This window comes from Homo sapiens, chromosome 7, assembly GCF_000001405.40.
Source record: "Homo sapiens chromosome 7, GRCh38.p14 Primary Assembly".
Taxonomy (NCBI): Eukaryota; Metazoa; Chordata; class Mammalia; order Primates; family Hominidae; genus Homo; species Homo sapiens.
In genome coordinates this window covers 70,494,102-70,509,845 of record NC_000007.14, presented here as the reverse complement: position 1 = coordinate 70,509,845, position 15,744 = coordinate 70,494,102, and the positions used below count along the sequence as shown (strand labels likewise).

Genomic DNA, 15,744 nt, shown 5'->3' with positions numbered 1-15,744 from the left:
TTTTTTGTATCTGCTTTGCTCAATTCGGGAAGCTATCAGCAAGGAAGGGCATTGTCTCAAACAAGTGCACAGTACCCACACCATTCTGAGTCCTTGATGAGAGTAAAATGGCTGCATTGGTCAGCCTGGTTTATCTATGCTCAAAAATGTCAAAAGACACGAAAAAGAGAAGATGGAAGAGTTACTATCCAAGGGTCAAATTCTCCATACCTGGGGTTCATTCATCAATGAGCTATGCAGTAGGCTTATACCGTGGGCCAGACAGGCAGCAGCTCATTCTCTTTTAAACCTTAGTTTAATCTGTAAACTAAAGAATCCTCCCTATATTCTAGAACTGTTATAAGGATTAAATGAAATAATCCATGGAAAAATACTTAACATGGTTCCTGGAACAAAGTAATCAGCAATCTATTTTTCTTTTCTATCTGCTCAACTGTACCTTCCGTAGGGTACTTTCCCAACCTTCCTCCCAAGTCAGAATACCTTATAATCTCTCATAGTCCCAATGCCTCTCCCATACACCATGGCTGTGATTCTAAATGGACTTATGGGATTCCCAAGTCTCTCTCCCACCATAGCAGAAGCTCCATGAGGGCAGGAATGGTGCCTTGGTTCTTTCTTCCCTCTGCTGTATTCCCTGTGTCAAGCACAGTGCCCAGCACATCACAGGTACTCAACACTTGAATGAAGTAATGGCACTTATTGCTGCGAAGAAAGAAAGTGTAATGCACACCTATTATTATTGTGGGAAAATTCCTTTCTGTGGTTTGAGAATGTCATGGATGTAGAAGACTAGATCTCAAGAGTCCGAGACTGAAAGGAAAAATATAATGAAAGGAGAAAAGTATGCAACCATAGGGAGGCAAAAGGCAAGTCAGCTTAGCATAGATATGGAATTTGGAGAGAACAAAAATTCTAGAAAAAGGCTTCAGTTCTGAATAAGACTCAAACTCAGGGTCTTCCTTGCTTTAAATAGCAGAAGTGTTACAATGCAAACATTAGCATGTTATCCTAACTAATTAATACCTTGCCCTTTCTCCATCACACTGATAAGCATGCTAGTTAGTAAGTGATTAAAACATTTCTACCTGATTACTAACTATACAGTTAAATGCTTACAAGGAACCACAGTTAATGGGATATCACAGGCAAGATTGCCAATTATGGCTGTAACCGTGGTGTATGTATGTACGCGCACACACTCTGTTCTGAATGAAGACACTCTCCCCACTCATATTTTCTCAGTCCCTTTCTGTCTTCATTGTTGGAGTTGGAGATTCAGGACTGACTACTGGGGAGAGAAAGATTTTGGGAAGGCGGAGGAAGGATGAGGAAAAGAGAAGAAGGATCTGAGGCAATGGAAGGATTTCAATATGCGGAAGTAAGAACCCGACTGGTACTAATCTGCAAAATTAAGATGCCTGTTAATAAACATCAAATGCTCGGCACTGTGAACAAAGCAGATGTATTAATTTTCCATTTCTGAAAAAAAGCCACACTTCTCCCTGGCTACTATTCTGCACCCTCCCTTTCTTCACTTCCCTCCCTTTCTTTCCTTCTCTCCCTACCCCCCTCCTTTTTGACAGCACTATTAATGATCGTTAATGCCCCACAGGCTCTAATGGGTCCCACTGGGAGTCCAGAAATACTGTAATTTGTATTGAGGATTTAGACATAACAACAACAAAAAAAAGCCCTCTGCTCCCCGTAGCCCGAGCTTGATCAGTTAGCTACCCCCATGGAATTGCACAACAGAATAATAAATGACAGCTCTTCGATTAAATCAAGCCTTCTGCTGTAAGTGCTGGAGAGAGTGTGATTGTCACTAACAATCTACTGCTTGTTAACACCATTGGGCTATGAACAAACAGTAGTCAACACCTAAAAAATTAAGTCTTTGGAATATTTTTGGTATTTGTGTCCACACATGCATTGCCCATATGAGGTACATGCACACACACATGTGTACACATACACTTTTCAGGTGCCCCATCTTATTTTGGGTTGGTTTTTATGTCTTAGTTACTTTTTCTTTATTTTTATTTTTTTGAGACAGAGTCTTGCTCCATCACCTAGGCTGGAGTACAATGGTGCGATCTTGGCTCAGTGCAACCTCTGCCTCCTGGGTTCAAGCGATTCTCCTGCCTCAGCCTCCCAAGTAGCTGGGATTACAGGTGCCCGTCACCATACCTGGCTAATTTTTGTATTTTTAGTAGAGACAGGGTTTCACCATGTTGGTCAGGCTGGTCTTGAACTCCTGACCTCAGGTGATCCACCCACCTCAGTCTCCCAAAGTGCTGGGATTATAGGTGTGAGCCACTGCGCCCGGCCTTAGTTACTTTTTTTTAATGTTCAGGGAAGCTCCATAAAAAAGCCAGCTGTTGTCATGTTAAAACAACAACAAAAAGAATTACTTGCACACTCATCTGCACCTCAGATATGGTATTCTTTCTTTTTTTTCTAATTTTAAAAATTTTTGTAGAGATGTGGTCTTGCCTAGGCTGGCCTCAAACTCCCAGGCTCAAGCGATCCTCCCGCCTCAGCCTCCCAAAGCAGTGGTATTACAGTTGTGAGCCACCATGCTTGGGCCAGTATTCTTGATGAAACAATTTACCAAATGATAAAGGCTTGATTCTGTGTTTCTCTGGTTAGTCTTGCAAGAGGGAATACGCAAGGCAAGGTAGGCTAAAACTGAGTTTGTGGCTGATTTACAATTTACACTTATTTCCTCAAGGTTCTTACCATATTGCCTTCTGAATAAAATGTTCATTTTCCAAAAGAGGGTGGTGAAGACCAGGCCTAATTTGGGTTGGTGCTCACTCAGCATCAGTGGTCCCTGTCTTGGAGAGCCAGGCTTCCCCAGATTCTGAGCTCTCTGCGCTGGGACAGCACTCGTGTCCTTTCATCTCTCACAGCACTGTTCTGGACCCCAGATGAGCCTCCAGAAGACTTGAAAGGCACAGAGGGGACTCCACATGGCCCAGAGTAGGTTGGGACACACCATACATGTACCTGCATTAATTTCCCCCATATAGATAAGAAACTGCTGAATCTCAGCCCCGAAATAAACAACAGAGCCTGCCTGTTAGACGCTTACATTTGAACTCAGAAGGGCAGCCAGAAGGGGTCCCCACAAGCCCAGGAGAGCAGCGTGGGACTGCTGGCTGCCCTCTCCAGAGATAGATGGTGTATCTGCAGTTGACCTTTACGCTGGGCGCGGAGCACGTGTCTGTTTTGACAGAACAGCTGAGAATAATTATTCTCTCTCCCTCTCCCTCCCTCCCTTCCTCTCAGTCTTGGTGGAGAGTGGGATGCAACACAGTCTCTTCAAGTGAGAGGCAGTAATAGGCAGATGGTTTGAACTACAGTTAGCCATATTCACTTGCAGATTTAGAATTATTGATGATAAAAGCTAAACTATGAGGCATGTTCCATCTGTTTATTTTCCAATTTTCATTTGTTGTAGCCCTGTTAATATTACTGGGATTTTCTTCTCTCTCCAGAAGCGCTGCCATAAGGGCATCTACCTAGAGACGTCTGTCCTTGTAGCTCCAGATGCATTGCCCTCGCTACTGCTGTTCGGGCTCTGCTCTCTCGCTCCTCACCACCCCCTTGCCCTGCTCTTTCTCTCCTCTCCTCTCAATCTGGGGAAATCTTCTACCTTCTGTTATGATCCTGATTGGCTCCTGCACCTTTAATGTCAGTCCCAGGGGAGAAAAAGACACCCCAGGGATCATGCTTGGCTCAGCCTGCACCTGGGATCACGTGGCTCCCCGTGTTCCAGTGCTCTGTGCCTGAGATGATCTCAAACAAGGTACAAACCAGGAGGAGGCATCACGTTCAAGGCCAGCGCCTGGTCTTGGAGCATGACTTCTACTCGGAGCCTGGAAAGAAGGGGTGGGTAATTAACCTGATAAGGAGCTAAGACATTACTGATACGGAAACAAGCACAAACATGTTATGAAAGGCAAGTGCCACTTTGGTCCCCATCCCGGCCTGCCAGGATTGTGGTCCCTACCTTGGGGACAAGTTGGCAGAGAAACATGAAAGGTCCTACCTCCCCCAAACCCTCTGGTTAGCAGGATCTTGGCATGTGAGACTTAAATTCTCCAGCTGCATTTTCTGTCTGAGGTGGCCTGCTCCCTCCTTAGGACAACGGCTGGACTTAGCCTGGGTATAACCACGGTTCACAGGAGCCACGTGCAATCTGTGTCGGCAGGAACTTCCTAAGTAACTTATAAGCCTCTTTTAATCGAGAGGCAAAGCTCTCCATCTTGTTGACACTTATGACCCTTGATTTAAAATACTCCAATTGTTTAATTCAGATGGGGCCAGGAGAAAGTGCAGGCCCTTTCCATTAGGACACTTTCTAATGGGAGCAATACATCAAGTCCTTGCCTCTAATCTGAATAACAGCTGTTTGGAAACCTGTCCTGGGTCTATCATTTGGAGCTGCATTTAGGAAGATCAACATTCCCCATATTAACTTCATGTTTATCTCCACTCTGGGAGAACTGGTTAAAAGCACCAGGAAAGGAAACCATCACCCACCTGATTTCATGGTGCTTCTGCTCCTCCTTCTCTACCAGCCTTCTCTTTCTCATCCAAAAAGGAAGTCTTTAAAATTCACCTCTAGGAGGTAAAAATCAACCTCCCTGAGGCTAATGAACGCATAGAAATATGCTTACAGTCATCTATTGAGCGCTGAGTGGATGGAGGCTCAGGGCCAGGCTCTGCGAAACCACCAAAGACAGACTCCACATCTGGTGAAGCAAGATTCACTGAGTTAGAGTCTCAGGCCCTGCTACCTCTCTTGAAATCTCTGATTGCTTAGTGTATTGGTCTGTTCAGAGGCAGCTTTTGACACAACTACAACTAATCATACTTTTTTCTTTTTCCAGCCTCTTCCATTTAGATTACAACCTTTGTGAAGGTAGAATGTTATCAATCAGAGCTCCTGTGGGCCCTGGAATAGCAGGATACTGCACTGTAACTCTGATGTTTTGATGACAATGAAAATTAATGAGTGAAACATGCCTCATCCTTCCTGACAATTTCACAATAAAACCTGTGTAAATATAAAAACAGAAAAAGATTCTGGCTTGTCTTAGAAGATTACAGAAACGTGGATACCAAGCCCCAAACACTTGCAGGAAACTCATGATTTCGAGAGGAAAACATTAGATGTTTGTCCACTTAATATATCAAAGGAGAAGATACCAATCAAGTAACTGATATTGTCCAACCTTCCCGCAAGTGGGACAGCTACTGCTCCTCGGTGCCGGTCCCCTTCCTTCCTGCATCACTCACACATCTACACTGCTATTCACATTTCATCTGCAAGTCCTCTCTGCCCATAATCTCTGTTATTTTGCTGTCGACTCCTCATGCCTCATTAGTCATGTTTGACACCTGCACCTAATGTCTTTTCACTGACAGCGCAGGACAGCTTCTGGTAAGAATAGATCTTTTCCAGAATAGCTTCAACAGAGGTCTCTGATTGTGTGGCAAAGGTGTGATATGGGGTCACGGTGGCTGCCCTTTCCCCATTCAGTAAACCCTCTTCATTAGACCTCTCTAAACCTGGCTCCATTTAAAGACTGGACATGTGGCTATTAGGAGCTGGAGGAAGGAATGCAAGCAGAAGGAAATAAAAATAGCCTATAAAGCTTTAATATTTAATTGACAACAAATCTATGTACTCGAGCTCCTGTGCAGTAGCCTGCAAGACGACAGATGAGAAATGTCTCACTATAAAGTATTATAAAGATTTTCACACCCAAGCTTACAATTCATGACTTATTAATGAAATTCTCATATTCAAAAATTCAAAATTTTTGTTTCAATGACAAATTCATTGCCAAGTAGTTCAACTAACAAGCAACCTCAAATCTTGAGCGGAGGGGAGATGGCTGATGTAAAATAAAACCAAAGTAATGCTGCATTGATAGTCAAACTTTTCTCTGCATTTTGGCCGGTTTTCTTTCTTCTTTTTTTTTTTTTCCTTATTTTTAAAAACAATTTTGGGCTGGGTGCAGTAGGCTCACGCCTGTAATCTCAGCATTTTGGGAGGCCAAGGTGGGAGGATCACTTGATCCTAGGAGTTTGAGACCAGCCTGGGGAACATAAGAAGACCTCACCTCTACAAAAAATTTAAAACATTAGCAGGGCATGGTGGTGCACACCTGTAGTCCCAGCTGCTTGGGAGGCTGAGGTGGGAGGACTACTTGGGCTGGGAGTTCAAGGCTGCAACGAGCTATGATCAAGCCACTGCACTCCAGCCTGGACAACAGAGAGAGAATCTATCTCAAAAAAAAAAAAAAAAAAAATGAGACGGGAGTCTTGCTCTGTTCCCAGGATGTTGTGATCCTCCCACCTCAACCTCTCAAGTAGCTGGGATTACAGGTACAAACCACTGGGCCTAGCTTGGGCCAATTTTCAAACATGATCTGTCAGATCATGAAAGATAACACAGGCACACATCACAGTTTACTGACTTTGTAAATCTAATGCTACACTTAGAATTTGTAAGTCTAATTAGACAGTGACTATTTGGTGACATAAACAGATCCAGCAACTGGCTGTCATGTGACAGCCATTAACATGTGACAATGGATTGGGCCAGTCAGGTGCCTCTTTTGGGGACAAACTTTCTCTTTCCAAAATGTGTTGAATCATCAAGAGTCTGAGTGAAATAACCGACTAGCTGCACCCAGTGCACAGGCACACCTATGGGTGCTGCTACCTCGTTTCCCCTGGTTCTCCCTCTGGAGAAGTGCTCCTTTCCTCCCCACCCTGGGGAGCACTTGCAACTGTGTGGGACTGTTTTTCAGGAGTCAAGGTGATGGTGATAGATACTGGTATTTAATGGGCAAAGCAGTGTTGCTAAGTGTTTTGTGATGTGTGGGAGGAGTCTACCCTAAATGCCCAAAACTCCTCTACTGACAAACAATGGAGGGTACATGATATCTTGGAAGATCACATCTTCTTTGGCTGTTTTCCTGAAGTCTTCACCTGTAAAACACATCCGCTTCAGAACAGGACTATACCATAGCTGTGATATTTGCTGTTAAGTACTTTTCTGAATGGGAACTTTCTAATGTTTACAACCAGGTAGGAAGTTAATGAGTGCTTCTCTGCCCATGTGGTACTGGGCCCTTCCCACTATACACCTCACTGAGCCTGGGCTGCTATAAACAAAGTCTGTTGGGAGTCATGACCTCTGGATGTGAACAACCTGCATTGCTACTTTTCTGCAGGGGACACAAAATATTCTTGAGATCCTAAGTTCTACAAGCACCACTGGAAGCGGTGGGCAAAAGTCACTCTAACAGGAAGAGATCCTTGATTCCATCACAGTTCACTGCCTTCAGGACTATACTCACCAACTATTATTTCACTCAATTTCTTTCAAACAGATGCAGGCCATCTCCTATTTCAGTATGGCACAAGTGGGGACAACTGGCAGCCTTAAAGTGTAACATCTTCCATTTGCTGTCGATAGTGTGTTCTTACACAAGAGCTACTATCTTTGTCCAACATTCAGAAGGTGTGCCATTAATACGGAGCCAAGATAAACATGGCTGGAGAGGGAAAGGGTACGAGGTGGACCTGAAGCAATTCGTAAGCACATGGTCGAAGCAGCACTTGCAGCTGGAGGTCCTAGAAACTGGAACTGTCAAACCTGTCACACTGCTGTCACCATGACAGGGAGAGGAAAGTCACGGAGGTGCTTCCATTTCTAACCAGTGTACATCTCTACAAGAGACACATCTCAGGAACAGCTTGACTAATGGTCAAGTTCTAACAGACATGGAGGGAATGAGAATGCTATTGACAGGGAAAGCAGCCTGGCTGGGTGGGAGGGTAAGTTCCTGAGCCATGGAGACACAGCTGACAGCAGAAGTGAAGGGCTCCTCAGGCCACCTGCCTCTAAGACATTAATGGGATTTCTGAGGTTGAACTAGGTTGGAGTTTAAGTTTGTGGGTTGCTGGGGTAGGGGGAAAAGAAAGCTAGATGGCTGCAAAAATGAAAAGAGCATCACGTAGGGCAGCACAGTATTCCTGACTCCACAGTTAGATTATAACAATCATATGGAGTTTGATGGTTTTGTTTGTGTTGTGGAGAAAGGGGGGAAGGAGCTGTTGAGGGGGAGGTTCATGACACTGGAGCATGTCTGCATGTCTCATGTAGCCTGGATGAGGGTTCCGGGAGGCAACACCACCACCCCTACCCAACGACAAAACCAGGAAAGAAGAGAGGCCTGTGATGGTGAAAGGGCCTGAGGGTAAGTTCCACTGTGCTTTTGTCACCTGTGGGTGTGGCTCTGCAAAGTGACTATCAGCTAAGAAAACATGGGCATCTCTTTTACGGGTAGAACTTCCCTTTCTCTGGGTTCTGACTACTGATTTCCAGGGGCTCTTTGAGCTACAAGGGAAGCTAACAGGCTATCTCATAGGCTAGAAGGAGGCAGCCGATCCAGTTAATGCCCCTGTTTCCACAAGGACTCACAGTTCTAGAGCATTCTTCCTGGCCCCACATTCAGCTAGTGACACTGCTAACTACTCTCCCAGTCCTCACACATTCTGATCATGTGCCCCCCAGAGTAAAAACAGACAAATAACTCATTTAACTTGCCCGAGATATTTTTACTTATTGATATGCTTAATGATATACCAGTATACTAATGTATTTCTAAAATACACATTCACGAAATAAATCTGAATAGGTGAGATAAAAATAAGTAGAAAAAGTCATTTTAGATTTTTTCCTCATATCTCAAATTATTGTCCTTCATGCATACTTTGGGAGGTATCAATTCGGGCCAGGCACAGTGGCTCATGCCTGTAATTCCAGCACTTTGGGAGACTGAGGCGGGCGGATCACCTGAGGTCAGGAGTTCGAGACCAGCCTGGCCAACATGGTGAAACCCCATCTCTACTAAAAATACAAAAATCAACTGGGCGTGGTGGCGGATGCCTGAAATCCCAGCTACTCGAGGAGGCTGAGGCGGGAGAATCGCTTGAACCTGGGAGGCTGAAGTTGCAGTGAGCCGAGATCATGCTGCTGCACTCCAGCCTGAGCAACAAAGAGGGACTCCATCTCAAAAAAAAAAAAAATTATCAATTTGGTCAACCCATTATTTTGTGCCTGGAGAAGGTGCTAGAGGCTAAGCATTTCTCTAAGCACTTGAACTTACTGGCTGAAGCGGGAGAAATGAAAGGCGTGGTAGAACAACTTGAGAAAGGCCCACGGCTTCCAAAGAGGCTCCTTCATCCCGCCCCTGAATGGAGAAGCGGAATCTTTCTGACTTGAGGAAAGCCACATGTGAGATTTCATTTGTCTCTCTCCATTTCTAGAGATGTCAGATGTGGTTGTGATTTTTATGCTTGCCTCTCCTTTCCACATTCTCCATGTGGTGCTCATTTTTATCAATTGCTTTGGGTTTCATGCCGTTCCATCACTTTCCTTCTGCATTCCTTTTCCTGGGCTTTTATTCCCACCACAAGCTGCTGGTTCATTTCAGAGCAACTTGTTGCATGATCAGGACAGAGAAAGTAGGCTGCTTTTCCAAGAACAGGACGGGAGAGGGGCCAGAGAAGGCATCCACTGACTGGGGTGTCCTGAGTAAGAGGTGGGTATTTGCTTTTTGTTTTGTTTTTTTTTTTTTTTGAAGACCACCAGTACCTTTAGCAACCTTAGGTAAAGGGAGCAGAGCAGTGCTGGAGAGGGAGGAAACGTGTAGTTGTGATTAGGAAATGACAGGATTCCACCTCTTGGGCAATACTGTAAAACATATACACTCACTGTCTATTTTCCGAAGGACATCGTGTCTTGAGCTATGGCACTCCACACGTACAGAAAAGTCAGGATCAGGCAAGGATGGTTCAGAAAGGAGCAAGAAACCCAGCACACAGCTGGAGTCTTCCTCAACAAGTCTGACTGGATTCCACTCTGAAATCTCTCTTGAAATGGATTCTATCATTTGGTCAGACCTTGACTGTAACCTCCTATCTACATCTGGGAGCCTGCAGACTTACCTTGCTGTAAACTAACAATTCTACACCAAAGCTTCTGCCAGTTTTCTTTTTAACTTAACCATCTTATAGTTCCTCTTCACCTTCTTAACCTCCTAAGACTCTCCACTGGTGAGAGCAATGGTTCTCAACATTTATTTCTCCTGTCCAAAGAATACTAACACATTCCCATCGATGACTGTGGCTAAGGCAGGGTTCTCTGGCTGAGGTGGGAAACCCACCCTCTCCAAGGGGTAGCTGGGATCTTGGGAGTGGTACGTAATTGGAAGAAGAGCTTCCTCCTATGAGCACTTGAGACCCTTCACATTCTGACCCAACCTATTTGCAGTGTTTCCAAGTTGCACCGCCAGCCTCTTCCATGTTGTTCCCAGTTCCCCGGCCATCCTGGAGGACTGCACTCTTAGACTGGGTGGGGCTTTGCCTGTCTGTGCCTTTGCATGTGCTGTTCCCTCTGCCTGGAACTCCTCCAGCCACTAACTTATCTTGCTGAGCACTCTGAAATGTCAACTTTTATCTCTGAAGGAAATAACTGCCTTTCCACCTATCCCTTCTCCTTTCCCTTCAGCAGGCCCAATTCCTCCTCTGGGACCCTTTAGCACAATGTCTGTCCTGCGGACACATGCATCACACTGAACCACAGTTGTGCATTCACCTTCCGTGAGACTGTAAGCATCCCGAGAGCAGGGACCCGTCTTACTCGCATTTGCTGAGATGGTGGCCACCTCAGTGCCCAGCAAGACTCAACACGGTAGAAGTGAGCTGAAAGAGAGATGCCAAAACCAATGTCCCAGGGGCTGCTGGTGACTGGAGCCATTCTCCTTGCCCTCCTCTTCCACAAAGGTTCGGTCCAGCCCCATGCCTTGGGGCTGCCCTGCGTCTCTTCACTGCCCTGAGCCTCCTCTTGTGCTCAGTCCTGACAGGGCGCTGTTACTGTGGCAGCAGTGATTTACAACTGCATTTAGCTGAATCTAATCAGAAGTGTGAATACTCCCCTTCTATCTGGCACACATCATCGCAGCTCTAATTATTCACACATTTTGGCAAGCATTCTGGTGTTCCCCTACCAAGCTCCTAATCCCAGCAGATCAGTTAAAATAAATGAAAGAGAGAATCAAAAGGCACTTTAAAAATTCAACTGTTCTCCAAATGAGTTTGAACAGGCTCCAGTTAACTAGTGGTTGCAGCTGACTGGCATTTAAAATATAAGAACCCTTCTGCCCACCAACCCCCCACCTAGTCCCTTCCTACACCCTCTGCTTATAAGAACATGATTCTATCCCATTTAAGAGAAACACTTGAGACCAGGCCCTGACATGTTTTCAATGATCTGCATTAAAAACCAGGAAAACATAGTCACCACCCCAAGACCCAATCAGTGCCAAAGCAATTCTGCTTTTTTCCACATAGGTAATGTGATACCAGCCCAGGACTGATGATTACTACTACCAGAATGCACCTATTAAAGAGCTCCCCAAGTGCAGGAAGCCATTAAGGCAAAAATTAAAGCCATGTACCAACCTCAGAATTTAAGAAGTTTTCAAATACACACACACATGCAATGAGTATGCGGCTCTGTGGATTTCAGGAAGGCAACGCATGCCGGTTTCCACACTCCTTGATCTTTCTGTTGGCCTGGACTTCTCTTCCCCAGACATCCTCAAAACTTGCTCCCTTAGCACCTTCAAATCTTTGTTCCAATGTCACCCCTCAATAACACCTCTTCCCACTTCTTTTCACTCCCAGCATTCTGTCTACCCCTCTTCCTGCTTTCTTTCTCTCCTTGGCACTAATCACCATCTGACACATGCATTATGTGTTTTACTCATTCACTCACCATTCCCTTGTACTCATAGAATGTAGGGATTCTTGACTGTTTGGACTATTGCGGCTGGAGTAGTGTCTGATGTGTAGCAGGTGCTCAGTAAACATTTGTTAATAGCAGAGTGAACTCCTCCTGATGGTCTCTGCGTGTCTGAGACCCTGTCCCAGGAAGCTGCAGGCCCTGTGCTTTCTCAGACTGGCTGTGTGGAAGATGCCAAGTATAGGATTAATAACACAGGACCTCAGCGAAAACCGAGGGTCCAGAATCCCTGACTCAGCTATGCCCCTAATGAACAGGTAACGCAAACTTCTGTCCCTGCAGCTTTAAAATAAGGGGAATGCCAAGAAAATCTACCTTTCAGAATTATTAGGAAATTCAAATAACATGTAGGAAGAACCTTGGAAAAGTTAAAGGCATTCTCCACATGCATGAGGATATTATTCTCCAAGATAAAGCAGTGCTCTCCATTTTATTTTCCAAAAACCAAGTATTCTCAGTTACATAACAAGAAAGTCTAACCATGGTTACACGTAAGGGAAACAGCACAACAATCCATCATGACCTCTTCTGTTTCCAAACTTTGACTTGCCCTAGATAAAGCAACCTGTCTGAAGCCTCAAGAAGTGATTGTGTGTCTGTGCGACTGTGTACGTGATGTGTGTGAGTGGGGTGTGTGATCGACGCTGATGTGACGTGTGCATGTGTGTGGGGGGTGTGTGTGTGTGTGACTGTGTACGTGGTGTGTGTGAGTGGGGTGTGTGATCGACGCTGATGTGACATGTGCATGTGTGTGAGGTGTGTGTGTGTGCCTGTGTACGTGGTGTGTGTGAGTGGGGTGTGTGATTGATGCTGATGTGACGTGTGCATGTGTGGGGTGTGTGTGTGTGTCTGACTGTGTACGTGGTGTGTGTGAGTGGGATGTGTGATCGACGCTGATGTGATGTGTGCATGTGTGGGGTGTGTGTGTGTGTCTGACTGTGTACGTGGTGTGTGTGAGTGGGATGTGTGATCGACGCTGATGTGACGTGTGCATGTGTGGGGTGTGCGTGTGTGTGACTGTGTACGTGGTGTGTGTGAGGGGTGTGTGATCGACGCTGATGTGACGTGTGCATGTGTGTGGGGTGTGTGTGTGTGTGACTGTGTACGTGGAGTGTGTGATCGATGCTGATGTGACGTGTGCATGTGTGGGGTGTGTGTGTGTGTCTGACTGTGTACGTGGTGTGAGTGGGGTGTGTGATCGACGCTGATGTGACGTGTGCATGTGTGGGGTGTGTGCGTGTGTGACTGTGTACGTGGTGTGAGTGGGGTGTGTGATCGATGCTGATGTGACGTGTGCATGTGTGGGGTGTGTGTGTGTGCCTGTGTACGTGGTGTGAGTGGGGTGTGTGATTGATGCTGATGTGACGTGTGCATGTGTGGGGTGTGTGTGTGTGTCTGACTGTGTACGTGGTGTGTGTGAGTGGGGTGTGTGATCGACGCTGATGTGACGTGTGCATGTGTGTGGGGTGTGTGTGTGTGTGACTGTGTACGTGGTGTGTGTGATCGATGCTGATGTGACATGTGCATGTGTGGGGTGTGTGTGTGACTGTGTACGTGGTGTGTGTGAGTGGGGTGTGTGATCGACGCTGATGTGACATGTGCATGTGTGGGGTGTGCGTGTGTGTGACTGTGTACGTGGTGTGTGTGAGTGGGGTGTGTGATCGACGCTGATGTGACGTGTGCATGTGTGGGGTGTGTGTGTGTGTGTGACTGTGTACGTGGTGTGTGTGATCGATGCTGATGTGACGTGTGCATGTGTGGGGTGTGTGTGTGTGTGACTGTGTACGTGGTGTGTGTGAGTGGGGTGTGTGATCGATGCTGATGTGACGTGTGCATGTGTGGGGTGTGTGTCTGACTGTGTATGTGGTGTCTGTGAGTGGGGTGTGTGATAGATGCTGATGTGACGTGTGCATGTGTGTGGGGGGGGTGTGTGTGTGTGACTGTGTATGTGGTATGAGTGGTGTGTGTGATCGATGCTGATGTGACGTGTGCATGTGTGGGGTGTGTGTGTGTGACTGTGTACGTGGTGTGTGTGAGTGGGATGTGTGATCGACGCTGATGTGACATGTGCATGTGTGGGGCGTGTGTGTGTTTGTGTACGTGGTGTGAGTGGGGTGTGTGATCGATGCTGATGTGACGTGTGCATGTGTGGGGTGTGTGTGTGTGTGACTGTGTACGTGGTGTGTGTGAGTGGGGTGTGTGATCGATGCTGATGTGACGTGTGCATGTGTGGGGTGTGTGTGTGTGTGACTGTGTACGTGGTGTGTGTGAGTGGGGTGTGTGATCGATGCTGATGTGACGTGTGCATGTGTGGGGTGTGTGTGTGCGACTGTGTACGTGGTGTGTGTGAGTGGGGTGTGTGATTGATGCTGATGTGACGTGTGCATGTGCGGGGGGTGTGTGTCTATGTGTAGGGTGGCGGAAAGAGTTTCACCAAATTTCTGCTGCTAAAGGTATATACTTACCCTAACCAACCTCACTCTAGGAGACTGTAAGCAACTGTTTACTGGGGCAAGAAGATTCTAGACAACGCCTTGGACAGATAAGGGGAATACTTGCAGTGGTTGACCAAGTAAGCTACATCGAAAACAGAGATTAATCCTGGTTCTTTGAACAGTGAGCCCCAAAAGGAACTTTTCATCTGGTCCCTAGTTTAAGTAGAAGGGGGGTGGACTTTCAACTTGAGCTTTTTTTTTTTTTTTTTTTTTTTTAAAGAAAAGGTTATTCACAGGAGAGGAGCTTGCTTAACACTGAACAGAACTGTTCCCTCACTCTCTCCCAGGTGCCCTGGGTAACTGAGAGACTTTTGTTACTAGGGTCGGCACGAGACCAAGGAAAATATCACCCTACTTGTCTATTTATATAAAATACTCCAACCATTTCTGTGTCTTTATGTTTAGGGGTAATAGCCACACAGCATAGATGTTGATGTTTCATGCATGTGAAATAACACAGTAGAAACCTCCTTTAAAAAATTACTTTTCTTCAGTGTCACCATGGAAACAGGCCAACATAATCTCTCCACACCTAACTCTGGAGGGTAAGGAATAACAGTGACTGGGGAAAAAAATCAAAACACTGAAAATGCTCATAAATTCTATTATGTGCCAAAAAATGTAACAAGAGACATTTTTCCTCAGCTTTGGGCTGGGATGTCAACCTGTGATGTTTACTTTTTGAACTTTGTTTGATTTTCAAAACTAAAAAAAATCAACTTGGGAAGTTTAGTGAAGTTCCTGCTAAGCAATAAATCACTTCAGGGCCTCCAGCAGTCTCCAGTCTGTTCTCTTAAGTGGAGTGGAGTTGGAGGCTGCAGAGCAAGGGAAAATGGCAGCCAGTGGGAACTGAAGGGATCTGAGTGTCGGGGGGGAGGGGCGGTGGGGACGTGGGGACACTCGTTAAAAGAAAATGTGGGAAGCAGGGCAGTCAGAGCCAGCCACAGCTCCCCTTCTCATTGCAATTATGGCTCCCGTCTCTAAAGCACTTACATTCTGGCATTTTCCTCGCCATGGGCCCCAGACAAGCTCTTCATGAGGCTGAGTGTTTGGCTGATTCAACCTTAGGCCAACAATGCTTTTCAAGATAAAGAGTGATAAAAAGACATAAAACTCTGTCAGAGTCTTGATTATCTGTAAAATAAATGTAGTTTTGAAAAAAAAAATACCCAAGCCTAGACTCTGAAGGGAAAGATTAGTAGAGATTTCTCAATTTGATATCTGTTTCTTTGAAAATCCAAGCTTCTTAGCAATGACTTCTCCTGCTTCTCAACTAAAATGTTCCTGGTGGAGACAAGATGTTGGTCACAAAGATCAGCTCTGCAATGAAAAGGACCATTTTATTCTGAG

At 45.7% G+C, this 15,744-nt stretch overlaps 1 protein-coding gene across 25 annotated transcripts in view, besides 2 other annotated features; it reads right to left on the bottom strand.

Annotated features, from left to right (window-relative positions):
- AUTS2 (activator of transcription and developmental regulator AUTS2) overlaps window positions 1-15,744 on the bottom strand; it is a 1,195,032-nt gene that overhangs the window by 283,661 nt on the left and 895,627 nt on the right. The window lies entirely within an intron of this gene.
- Window positions 3,691-4,890: an enhancer, noted in NCBI's record as "CDK7 strongly-dependent group 2 enhancer chr7:69969942-69971141 (GRCh37/hg19 assembly coordinates)". NCBI's record gives its function as "activates an origin of replication core promoter dependent on BRD2, BRD4, P300/CBP, MED14 and CDK7 cofactors, with strong dependence on CDK7, by STARR-seq in HCT116 cells {active_cell/tissue: HCT116}" and the evidence as "EXISTENCE:reporter gene assay evidence [ECO:0000049][PMID:35650434]".
- Window positions 12,724-13,231: an enhancer, noted in NCBI's record as "H3K27ac-H3K4me1 hESC enhancer chr7:69961601-69962108 (GRCh37/hg19 assembly coordinates)". NCBI's record gives its function as "activates a minimal SCP1, AML or CMV promoter by ChIP-STARR-seq in primed H9 embryonic stem cells {active_cell/tissue: H9 hESC(primed)}" and the evidence as "EXISTENCE:reporter gene assay evidence [ECO:0000049][PMID:30033119]".